This window comes from Homo sapiens, chromosome 6, assembly GCF_000001405.40.
Source record: "Homo sapiens chromosome 6, GRCh38.p14 Primary Assembly".
Classification (NCBI taxonomy): Eukaryota; Metazoa; Chordata; class Mammalia; order Primates; family Hominidae; genus Homo; species Homo sapiens.
The window spans coordinates 137823669-137836803 of NC_000006.12; the positions used below are offsets into that span (position 1 = coordinate 137823669).

The 13135-nt window shown below is 39.8% G+C and overlaps 1 long non-coding RNA gene across 1 annotated transcript in view, besides 2 other annotated features; it reads right to left on the minus strand.

The window, feature by feature from the left end:
• The window catches only part of WAKMAR2 (wound and keratinocyte migration associated lncRNA 2), a 44565-nt gene continuing 31430 nt past the window's right edge, over positions 1-13135 (minus strand). Inside the window, exon 4 of the long non-coding RNA NR_049793.1 lies at positions 1-909. This is a non-coding gene — a long non-coding RNA (wound and keratinocyte migration associated lncRNA 2). The remainder of the gene's footprint in view (positions 910-13135) is intronic.
• Positions 4334-4463: an enhancer, noted in NCBI's record as "active region_25150". NCBI's record gives its function as "activates an Ori minimal core promoter by ATAC-STARR-seq in GM12878 lymphoblastoid cells {active_cell/tissue: GM12878}" and the evidence as "EXISTENCE:reporter gene assay evidence [ECO:0000049][PMID:35858748]".
• Positions 4484-4533: an enhancer, noted in NCBI's record as "active region_25151". NCBI's record gives its function as "activates an Ori minimal core promoter by ATAC-STARR-seq in GM12878 lymphoblastoid cells {active_cell/tissue: GM12878}" and the evidence as "EXISTENCE:reporter gene assay evidence [ECO:0000049][PMID:35858748]".

A 13135-nucleotide genomic window follows, 5' to 3' on the forward strand; every position in this document is an offset into this window, starting at 1 on the left:
TTTATTGTTTTAAAACCTTCATTTATTTTGGGATGTCACTACCAATTTTTCAGGCCTTAGACATGTAAGCATGCATTTCTACTTTTTTAGATTTTGAATCATGTAGAAATCTAGCCAAATTAATTGAGAATACTCTATTGAATAAATCAACAACTTTACTTCCAGGGTCCTGTTAACCTAAGCTAAAGATAAAAAAGCAGCAACAAAGTGCCACTGTTATCTGGTTAAAACTGACAACTGTAAGATGTATGGATGATTTTCTACAAGTTTAGAAACAGGAAACAGTGCTTGCTGCACTTGCCACAGGGCATATAAACTGAGAAAGTTATGTAGAAATTCAAGATCAGAGGATGAGCGCAAGGATGATCTTTGAGAACAAAACAGTGAACAGAGCCCTTTGTGGTGGCAAGCAGTGACGTGAGGTTGTGTTTATGTGAATACAAACCCTCTCCTCCCAAGTCTGGTGACTACAGTGTTTTCTTCCCACCTCGTTGTTAATTGTGGAAATCTGGCTGTCACTATTAACATATCAAACAGAGGTCTTGATATTATCTGCAGCTGATCATTTGTTTAGGTTTTACCCGCAGGAAAAGTCTGGTGGCAGCCAGTCCCAGGACAGCCACGCATGACGCACAGAAGAGTCCTTATAGTTCCCCTGGAGGGGGTGATGATGCAGGCAAATGCCACGCCTGATCCCTTTGGGTCTCCGTGGCAACAAGGCTGCTTGTCAGACTAGATGATAATGAGCCATGATCTGGAAGAGGCTTATTCCATAACAGGAGGGAGGTTTCAAAGGTAACACGTCAACAGCAATGCCTCGGCAACAGCTGTTTGTTATTGTAGTCGTCAAGGACAGAAAAAGGACAAGGCTGCCAGAAGATGTTGCATATGGAACAGAAGATTCTTGCCCTGGAAGAAGGAATAGAGGAGATGTAAATATCCCTTCTTTCTTGGGGGAAGGAAATAGATGAACTGTATGCTAAGTTAGAGCCTCTCTTTATCTATAAATGATCTGTTGGTTAAACAGGATACCTCCCTTCTGAACATCTCAGCACCCCATCAAGAGAACTTCAGGTCTCTGCCATTTAGACGTGTCATTTGTAAGTAAAATAAATCAGGGAAGTAATAGGAGGAAAGCTAAGAATGAAAGGAATTCATCACCACTGCAAATTTGTCCCTGAAGCAAGGTGAGTCCCTGCCCATCTGGCTACACCAGCTCTTTTTTTTTTTTTTTTTTTTTTTTTTTTTTGGCCCTTACTAGACCCCACTTGGGATTTTGTTGGCATATTTGCTTGGATGTCTATCTCCTCTGTAGTTCCTGAGGTCAAGATTACAGTCTCTTTTTTTTTTTTTTTAGTTTTTGTATCTATGGTGCCTGGCAAAGAAAAGAAGCTCCATCAATATTTACCAGTTGCTGGTGGCAATGGTAATGGTAGTTGTGTAGAAGGTGGGAAGGATAGAAGTATAGCTAAGTGACGGGACATTCTATTTCTACACCTTGTTTAGCTATGGAGGTCTCTGGAACTAGCCAGGCTAGCCAAGACTGGGACTTCTTGTGTCTTCTCCAAGAGAGGCAGAATGAGCCTAATGGTTTAGAACGTGGGCTCTGGAGCCAGACAAGCCAGATTAGAATCCTGACTCTACTCCAAGCAGTGTGAGCTTTGGCAAGTTACATACCCCATCTGTGCCTCTGTGAGGATGAAACGAGTTCCTTAGAATGATGCCTGGTACCCCAGAGGAGCTATTCAGGTTCAATTGACTCTGTTTCTAGTATTACTGCTCAACTTAGGAAGAAAAGAAGTGCAGAAGAGGAGAGGCTTTTGCTTCAAATTTTGAGTTTCACATTTAACCTTGCAGTTTTATCCCTGGGGAGCTTCTGCCTGGATGGAGGATGAATCTGGTATCTAAGCTCCTCCTTAGGGCTGTCATTTAGACCAGTGCCAATCCCTAGGAGTGCTTCTGATTTCCTGCTTATCTCCTACAAATGTACAGTTAAGTCAATTCAAAAGAAAAGATAAATGGTCCAAACAAATCCATTGTAGCATACTGTAATTCACTGTCCATGGGGCAATTCATTTGCCCTTGAATTATTATTATCTTCCTTACCTGATGTGCTTGACACTTATGATCTTGAACCATGCTGGGCACCATGGCAAATTTTGATATTTGATATCAAATATCAAAATATTTGATATTTTTTCCTTGATGCTTTTGAAGACACCTCCTCCATAACCACGATCAGCGACCAACACTCAAAAGGCTGAGGGGAACTGAAGCCAAGTTAGGGAAACAATGTAAATGCCTGGCTGGTTAACACGTGGATATCCAAAGAGTTGTTGGGTCTTCTCACCTCTACCCTCATCTGCCGTGAGCACACAGTGCTCCACGGATATATTCAAACTTGAATCAGGCCAGGCACGGTGGCTCATGCCTGTAATCCCAGCACTTTGGGAGCCCAAGGCGGGCGGATCACAAGGACAGGAGATTGAGACCATCCTGGCTAACATGGTGAAACCCGGTCTCTACTAAAAATACAAAAAATTAGCCCCGCATGGTGGCAGGTGCCTGTAGTCCCAGCTACTCGGGAGGCTGAGGCAGGAGAATGGCGTGAACCCGGGAGGCGGAGCTTGCAGTGAGCCGAGATTGTGCCACTGCACCCCAGCCTGGGCGACAGAGCAAGACTTCGTCTCAAAAACAAAACAAAACAAAACAAAACAAAACAAAAAAACCTGAATCAATAAGTGAGGAATTTTATGAAATGCACTCTTGAAGCCAATGAAATAAGGTCATCCATAACTATAAACCAGCAGCTAAATATTACGTAAGCATGGGACTTGGACTCTATTTCATTTAGACCACCTGAAGCAGGTTCTCTTGGAACTGCAAAACAAAAGAAGAGAGAGAAAGAAAGACCACCATTGTGATGGTTTCCAGATAGGCCTAATCAAAAGGTTGAAAATTTCTACCAAGAATATTAAGTCATTACAGCAGGTACCTTTTCTAATTAAAATTGTATTCCCACTGCATGGCTGCATCCTAATAAACTGAGAGGCATCAGCTAGCTACCTTATCTTTCATACCAGCTGTAAGTATGCTGATATACATATGTATATTATATTTGTATTATGTATAATATCTATATGCTATATGTATATATAAAGTATAGCCCTTAAAAATTATTTCAAAGTCACACAATCATCTGAGTCACACAAGCACATAGAAAAAGAGATAAAGGTATGTTATGTAACTCACCTCCTGTATCCAGATAAGTCTTCAGTCAAACAAATACAATTATTTGATATTTTTTCCTTGATGCTTTTGAAGACACCTCCTCCATAACCACAATCAGGAACGGTCTGTATTTCAGCAGTCAGGAAGTTCTTTTTTTTTTTTTTTTTTTTTTTTTTTTTTCAAATAAACTGCTTATCTTAGAATGGTTTTAAAATTACAGAATTAATGTAATTAGTGCAGTAATGTAATTAGTGCAGTAATGGTACAGAGCGCTCCCTACCTAATACTGAGTTTCCCCTATTGTTAACATATTACATTAATATGGTACCTTTGTCATGACCAATGAATCAGTATTGATACATTATTTCCTCAGCTTTTCCCTAATGTCTTTTTTCCTTTTTCTTTTTTGAGATGGAGTCTCACTCTGTTGCCCAGGCTGGAGTGCAGTGGCACGATCTCGGCTCACTGCAGCCTCCACCTCCTGGGTTTAAGTGATTCTTCTGCCTCAGCCTCCCAAGTAGCTGGGATCACAGGCGCCCGCCAATACACCCAGCTAATTTTCGTATTTTTAGCAGAGATGGGGTTTCACCATCTTGGCCAGGCTGGTTTCAAACTCCTTACCTCAAGTGATCTGCTTGCCTCAGCCTCCTAAAGTGCTGGGATTACAGGTGTGAGTCACCGTGCCCTGCCCCTAATGTGCTTTTTCTATTCCAGGATTCCATGCAGGATACCACATTGTATTTAGTAGTCATGTCTCCTTAGGCTCCTCTTAGCTGTGGCAGTTTCTTAGACTTTCCTTGGCTTTGCTGACCTTGATAGTTTTGAGGATTACTGGTCAGGTATGTTGTAGAATGTCCTTCCATTGGGTTTTGTCTGATGTTTTACTCATGATTAGACTGAGTTAATGCATTTAATGGGAGGGAGACCACAGAGGCAAAGTGCCATTCTCATTATATCATATCATCAAGGGTGCACACTATCAATCGCTTGCCAATGTTAGGGAGTTGTTTTTAAGGTCAAAAGTAAATTCCTATTGTTAAAGCAGTGGTTCTCAAAGTGTGGTCCCCCAGATCAGCAGTGTCAGCATCACCTGGAACTTGTTAAAAATGCAAATTCTTGGCTTTATCACAGGCCTACTAAATCAGAAACTCTGGGGGTGGAGCCCAGTGATCTGTCTGAACAAGCCTAGGTGATTCTGATGCAGCTGAAGTTTAAGAACTGCCGTGTTCGTGGTTGTCTAACATGTTTGGCCTCAATGTATAAAAAGAGTTCTCCTCAGTGCCCATCTATTAAGCCAGTGGTTCTCAACTCTGCTGCATTTCATGAATACCCACGCCCAGGCACCATCCCCAGAGACTGATATCACTGCTTTGGGAGGGTGTCTTACTGAAAAGTTCCCAGGTGGTTCCAAGCCTAGACAGGGTTAAGGGCTCCTGCCCTGGCCCTCAGCTAAGAGAAGTCTCCCCTCTTCTACTCATGCTTTCCACCCTTGTAAGCTCTCCTTCCTTTCCCCCTTGGCCTTTGGAAGAATGGATCAATCAGTAGCCTGGTTTCTTAGAAAACATCAAAGAAGATTTAATGCTACAGAACTTCAGATTGGTAATAGCCATAAAGGTCAACTAGTTATGTGGTTTTAAAAGTTTTTTTGAGCAGACTCTTTCTTCAAAGGAAATCTTTATGGGGAAACCCAAACCAATACAGAAAAAGAGAGAAAACTGAGCTGCCCTGAGTGAAGGGGAAGGGACTTGAGGTTGCTTCTGGTCCTCCTGACACTATCTAGCCATCACTGGGCTAGTTCAGCCTTCCCAGTCAATGGTTGTCCACCTTCTCCTTGATCATTTCCAGCATCAGGGGCTCCTCCACTTACCACGCCACTTCCATTTCAGTACCAAGCATCAAAGCTTTCTTTCTTTTGAGCCCCCATTGGCTTCCCCATCACTTCCTATCACTAATACAGCTCCTTTCCTGGTGTTAAAGAAGAGAGATAGAGAGCCTTTCCCATAAAAAGCCTCTTTTTATTTCATGATTCAGGCACCCTGCTCCCTCAACAGTGGTTCTCAACTGGATTGTGCATTAGAATCAACCAATGCACTTTCAAAAGTCTCACTGCCCAGGATACACCCCAAATCAATCTGGTAGTGTCTTTTCAGGTGGACCCAGGTAGACAAGAACCACATGCAGCCTGGCTGGGGACTGAGCACCTTTGTCAGAGCCTCTCCCCTCACCCCCAGGCCAACAGGGCCACCCTCTTTCCTGATGATTGACACTACTCTGAACCTCCTCATCATTCCATCTGCTCCCTTTAGAGAATGCTCCATTATCCGTATCAAAAAGTAAGTCATAGTGGCACAATTTTCACAAACAGTTTTTATACAATGAAGGTAAAAAGTTTAAGTGCTGGGTTGATATAATACCAAATTCTTTCTTTCTCAAGTTAATTAGAATAAAAAGACACCTATTTGCTTCGTGACTCAACAATCCAACTTCTACTCCCATGTCCCCCTTCCCCTATACTGGAAAGATTGTACAAATGCTCCTACCTTTCCCGGAGCAGAAGTGTCTCACAGCTAGTATCCCTGCTCTGCCCTTGTTAAATGAGAGGTAAATGATGTGATCATTTTTTTGTGACTGCCTTAAGCAACTCCACCCAGATGGCCTGGCTGTTTGTTTGGTGAAGATTTCTCTCTCCTCTTCTGCCCCCTCTTTCTGACCCATTAGTCAGAAAATAACTGGGCTTTGCAAATGTAGGTTGTGTAAGTTGTCAGGTTCACCAGCCTCCAAATGGCCTGTCCCAAATCCTCTTAACCAGTATTTCCGGAATGAAGTTAAGATCATGCAGGCCATTAGCCAAGGAGTTTAGCTAGAGAGGGTGGGGTGAAGCACAACCCATGCTTTGAAGTATCTGAAACACTCACCAGCCAATGACAATTACTTGTCTCCACTAGGCTGAAGAACATATTTCAGTTGTTCCTATCTCCACTGAAAAACTTGCCTCCTATATATGACATGACTCATAGTCATTAAGTCCAACGTGGAACGCAAAGAGGTTACTGTTTTCCTAACCATTGTATTCGAAGTCTCAGTCAGCTCAACCAACTGCTCCAAGTTGCAGAACATGGCTGAGGTAAACATGGAATTGTGCTGAGAGTTTTGTCTTAAACTCATGCCATCCATCTTCAGTTGGACCCTCGATTCTCTCTTATAATCATTTTTCTTTTCCTTACTAAACTTGATACTCTATGCCCCACAATAGTGTTTCAGAACTTCCTTCCAAAGTTTCAGTTTTCACATCTTTAAAATAAAGATAATCATAGCATCTACTTAGTAAGGCTGTTCTCAGTATTAAATCAAAGGATAGGCGTAAAGTTCAAAACATATGACATAAGTACCTAATACATGCTGTTACTATTATTATATATGTTATTATCTATGCTAATATTATATGACATGAATAATGAAATAACAAAATAATATTTTCTACTCATCTCAAAGTTACGAAACTTTTTTAGTGTCAGCTATATGCTAGTTATCCTGTTAACATGACACTTTGATATACAGCCCCTAAGATCCCAACTCCCTTCCACTCTCTTTCCCTCATCTTATTGGCCTTCTTTCTTACTAAGATCAAGGCAAGTCCATGGAAGCCCCTCAATATTCCCCTGCATCTCAGAATTTCTCCATGTCATCAAAGTTCCTGTTTTTCTTTCCTCTTCTCTCTGAAGGCCATCTCTGCTCCACTCCACAACCCTGGCCCTTCTCACACTAAGTATGGTGCCCCAGGGAGGATTTCCCCTTCAGCCCCACCTAAGAGATCTCAGCATGCAGCCCACAAGGTTTAAAATTGAGTCTTTACTCTTGAAAAGATTAAAACAGAGTTGAGGTGCCAAAAAAAAAAAAAAGAAAAGAAAACCTACAAGATAGCTCATAACAAGTGCCAACTGAGTCATTCAGAAAAAAAAAAAAAAAGAGAAATGCCACTACCTTCAGCAAAAGGGAACCATTGAACTATCATTGAAAAAATACTGTTCCCCAGAGGGAAAAAATTAACTCCAAAAACTTTGTCATCATATTATTAATATTTTAATATCTCATCATTTTTATAAGGCAGTTTCACAAAGTTATTTCCTTTAAGCCACTTAGAGAGGTAGATTAAGGAATATTCTGCCCATTTTACAAATGAAGAAACTGAGATGCAGAGAAGGTTTAGGAGAATTCCCAACCTGGGCAGCTAGTAAGTGCTAGAGCCAGGACTTCAATGTGGGTCTTGGGAGCCCCTTCCCCCTGCCCTTTCTTGTAGGCCATATTGACTTTCTACTGGAGGACATTACCATTTGTTCATTTACCATGATGCTGGAAACTTAGCATTATGTTTTCACATCTGCCCATTACAACTCTAGGTGGTCAGTCTAATTACCTGCATTTTAGATGTAAGGATGACTTTGTGAGGAGGGGGAGCAGAGGGAGGGAGTCTGTTAAGTAAGTAGCCCAAATCCCACTGCTAAAAAGCTCTAAAGTTGGCATATAAATTCAGGGCTCATGAACCTGAATTTTATTTTTTATTTGCAAGAAATTGTATTTCCTACAAATTAAGCATTTTTTTGCCTGTGAGAGCAAAAGATAACACCAAAAAAAAAAAAAAATGAAAGCAAAGTCTAAAACAGGTGGTAGTGACAGCAGAAAAAAAAAATATATATATACACTCATGGTTAGGCAACTTGTCAGCCAAGCCTGGGCCATAAAACACGATAAAAAAAGGTTTGGTTAATAGCCAGAATTACTCAGTTATTCTCATAAATGCTAATTATTAAGTTATTTATGAAAGGAAAAGGATTTTCATTTGATTGTCCCCTGGCTTTTATTGCTCTCTGTGATAACATAAATTCCCCTTCCAGGACCCCTTCAATGATTAAGGTGCATAGCTGTGATCTATAAGCATATTCAGACCTATCACCCATATAGATCAGCTCTGACAAAACGATTTGATGGCTTATGTTTTTTTCAGATAAATTCTATTCTTTGTATTTCATTAGAATGTAGATACCTATAAAAAGTACCTTAAGTAATATGAATCTTGAGATGTTAGAAACATTTCTTCAGAAAAAAAAATACCCACCAAGGAAGTTATAAACCAACTTAAAGAATAGGTGTTCAACAAAATAAATAAACCCAAAAATACTTAATATAATGCAGGAAAGTTTATGGTAGGGACTTGATATGGCAATCTCTTTGGAATTTTAAGTATAAAATGTTTCAGTGGGTTGATTCTCAAAATTCTAAAGCATGACAATAATTTTTTACCAGGTACAATGTGCTTTTAGGAGGATTTCTTCCTTTTCTCCCCCGTTTTTATGTTCAGTCTGACCTGGTTGATGACTGTGACTCAGATGATAGACGGACTACTTGTGGTTTGAAGGGTGTTGCTTCAGAATTCTAATCTCTTTTGTCATGGACCATCCCTGGGGATTCCAAAGTATTACTAGCTGTAAAGGAACTCCCCCTCCTCAATAAACCACAGCTCCCAACAAGAAATGAGCAACTTCTGATAGTGAAAATGGGACATTTTAAAAGAATTAACTAATAGTAAAACCAAGTCAAGAAAACGCTCTCTGAAATGCATTATTTACTATATTAGGAAAAGATGCATGGAGAGAGACAAAAGTTTTACAAGAGGTAAACTGGATTAATTCTATGAAAAACTTGCTAACCAAAGACTTGTTATTATTGCTTTTCACCAATGTATTGGAAGGGCGGAAAGAGAGAATAAATTATAACTCACCTAAGGACCAATTACCTCAATTTTTGGCTCATACCCAGAGAAAACAATTATTCCTAGGAATCTCTTAATCAAATTGAAGTCCAACAAACATTTATGTGTACCTACTATGGGCCACCCTCTGTTGACAAGTATTGGGGAGTGAGTAAGGCCAGGTCTTTCCCTTGAAGAAGCTTACTATTCAGTGGAGGAGTTCATACTAAATTCACAAACCTTTGAATACTAATCAGAGTTGTTAAGTATTACTACCTGCTAGTGCTTAGCTCTGTCCTCAGAATAAATAAATGAGGGAGGATCCAGGGGCACATGAAGACCTCACACAATTCAAGTTCAATAGACTTCCTTACTACAGGCTTCCATTTGTAGTGTTGTATTTATTTTCTCTTAATCTATTGCAAGGAGAGGCATGTATTCATTTATTAATGATGCTACAAGTACAATGTGAACATCCTGGAAAATACAAATTACTTATTTGCAACCCAGAAACTTAAATTTCAAAAAGTAAGAGACTGATTGGATCAAAAAAGGGCTGAAAAATGAAAAGGCTGCTGGTCAGAATATCGGCAGAGGCTAAAGTTATAGCTAATTCAAGCAAAAGATTTCCAAGATGCTCCCTTAGCACACTGAATGCACAGAGTGAAAATAGTGTTGGAGTTTGCAGAAACAGTTTTTTTAGAAAAGGCATGATCATATATAAAATACTCAAACTTTCCAGATTCAAAATTCCCAAGTGGAAAAGAATTGGGGACTTTTTAAAGAGATTTAATGATTCAGCTTGATTATCCAACATTATTCAATTGCTATTTGACTTAGTATGTTTTGTGTTACTATAAAGGCATATCTAAGACTGGGTAATTTATTTTTTAAAAGAGATTTATTTAGCTCATGTTCTGCAGGCTGTACAAGAAGCAAGGTGCCGGCATCTGCTTAGCTTCTGGTGAGGGCTTGTGTGCTGCATCAAAATATGGTGGAAAAGACTAAAGGGCAAGTAGACACGTGCAAAGAGGGTCAAAACCCAAGGGGTGTCCTGGCTTTATAACAACCCTGCCCTCAGGAACTAATCCATTCCCCGCAGAACCAATCCAGTCTCAGGAGAGCAAGAGTTCACTCAATTCCTTGAAAACAGAACTGATATGGTTTGACTGTGTCCCTATCCAAATTTCATCTTGCATTGTAGCTCCCATAATTCTCACGTCATAGAAGGGACCGGTGGGGGGCAACTGAATCATGGGGGTGGGTCTTCCCCGTGCTGTTCTCGTGATAGTGAATAAGTCTCATGAGATCTGATAGTTTTATAAAGAGAAGTTCCTCTGCACATGCCCTCTTGCCTGCCACCATGTAAGACCTGACTTTGTTCCTCATTTACCTTCTGCCGGGATTCTGAGGCCTCTCCAGCCATGTGGAACTGTGAGCCAATTAAACTTCTTCCCTTTAGAAATTACCCAGTCTCAGGTATGTCTTTTTTTTTTTTTTTTTTTTTTTTTTTTTTTTTTTTTTTGAGATGGAGTCTCACTCTTGTTGTCCAGGCTGGAGTGCAATGGCACGATCTCTGTTCACCTCAACCCCCACCTCCCAGGTTCAAGCAATTCTCCTGCCTTGGCCTCCAGAGTAGCTAGGATTACAGGCATGTGCCACCATACTTGGCTAATTTTTTGTATTTTTAGTAGAGATTGGGTTTCTCCATGTTGGTCAAGCTGGTCTCAAACTCCCGACCTCAGGTGATCCGCCCGCCTTGGCATTCCAAACTGTTGGGATTACAGGCATGAGCCACTGCACCCGGCCTTGGGTATATCTTTATTAGCAGCATAAGAAGAGACTAATACAAGAACCAAGCCATTCACAATGGGTCTACCCCATGACATAAGCTCCTCCCACCAGGCCCCACATCTCAACACTACCACTTTGGGAATCAAATTTCGACATGAGATTTGATAGGGACAAACAAACCATATCCAAACTACAGCAGGGTTTAAAAAGCAAGCAAACAAAACAACACACACACACACACACACACACACACACATACACCATACCTGATTATGCAGTTAGGTAAAACACTCAAATCAGCAATAAAAGTCTGCAAATTTGTAAACTGCATCAAGTAGTAGCCTGTAGAGTTTGGGATTGCATTTTGTAGTTCCTTTAACTCCCTCCACAATGATGAGCAATCTTATTCGCATCACAGACATTCACATTTAGTGAATATGCCGGAAGAGAGGGAGGGAGGGAGGGAGGGAGGGAAGGAAGGGAGGCAGGAGGGAGGGAAGGAAGGAAGGAAGGAAGGAAGGAAGGAAGGAAGGAAGGAAGGAAGGAAGGCAGGCTCTATAGGCACAGATGTAGATGTAGGTATATGGGTGTGAGGATTTGCGGACTTTACCTTCTAAATTGGACATCAAGAAATTAAAATGAATGAATTTAAATTTTCTAAACTTGCTTGCTTATACGAATCACCAGAAACTATGTGTTAAATGTACTGATTTCCAGGCCTCTGTGCTGACAATTCTGATCTGAAAGAAGAGTGGAAATCTGTATTGTTAACAAGTAATCACCTCCTGGTGATCCTTGTTATCAAGCAGGTTTAGGAAATACTGAACTAACTGATTCACGTTGCTCTGTTCATAATATTTCATTTGCTTAATTAAGATCTTTTTACCATGGACATTTTCAGTGGTCCTTTCTTCAGTCCCAAACCCTATTACCCTACATTTTTTCCCTCTAGGAGTCTTATCTCTTCCCTTATAGGATGGTGATGCAGCCATATCTGCCTGAATCTCTAGACCATTTCCACCCAAGTCGTCATCATTGATAACTCTTCCATCAGAGTCCTCATGGTTCGGGTAATACATGTTCAGGTCAAAACCTTTAAAACCTTGGAGAAAGGAAATAGTTTTATCAGGAAAAGCTGAAAAAGAAAAAAAGAACAAAAACAAAAACTTGAGGAAGTGAAAACATCTGAGGCCTAAAGTCAGGGAATATACCAAAGGAACAAAACCCCAAATCTCTTGTTCACACTTCCTCCAGATGTACTTAGAAATTATTTGCACATTTCTACTTCAAAAAACGTTATTTTCTGCTTTGATCAAAGTTTTCAAGTTTTGTAGATGATATTCATGTATTTGTATCCTAACCGGCTGAGTATATGAATGTGTTACTTCCACTATACCACATGAAGAAATATACCTACTCATTCATTTTTCATTCATTCAACAATTTGCTAAATACCTACCGCATGCCGCTGTGTAATTGAACTAGTATAGTGTACAGACACTAACAAGAGATAATCCCCGTCCGTAAATAAATTACAGTTAATTGGAAAAATAGACACATAAGCAAATAACTATACATTATGCTCCAAAGTAACTATTATATTAAGATTTGTATATAAGATGTTATGAGAACATAGAAAAGCATATCCTGATTATGGAGAAGGGCGACCTTTAGGGAGGAGATGAAGGAGATGACAATTTTTTCACAGTTATCTCTTGCTAAGGTAATTTTTAATTGCATAAATTAATATAATAACATTATTAAGGGAACATTTTTTCACCACTTTGCACATTGACAGTTTTCCTTTTTCCATGTTTCCATTCAAACTTTGTCCATAAGTATGTGTATATATACATGTGTGTTAGAAAGTTTAAATCATAATATCTGTAATTATGTTTCAAAAGCTTGCATACATTTGGCTATTTGAAAACCAAAATATAGCTTCCTATAAAAATAAAATTATTAAAGGTTGTTAGGTTTCCCCAAACCTAAGCCTATTTAATACACAACACTCTATTGCTATACTATTGTAGTTGTACAGTGAGAGAGTAATTGTATTGTAATCAGAAAAATATATTGGGTTTCTAATGAATTTCTCTAATAAGAAGGAAAACAATAAAATGATTTGAAAAGATTTTTTTTTGTATTCCAGATGTTCTTCCTTGAGGTACGAATTAGTAGATAGCCATGGCTAGGTAAAGGAAGGATGTCAACCAGATGCTAGTGGATGGGCAGTTCTGTTTCCCTTTGATAGAATTCTAGTTAGGGGATGTGGGCCTCTGAACTTCAGAGCTAGTGGCAGAGAGTAGCATGCACAGCTCATTTTCTAATTTGGAGAGGAAGATTGTCTCTGGAATGGGGGAA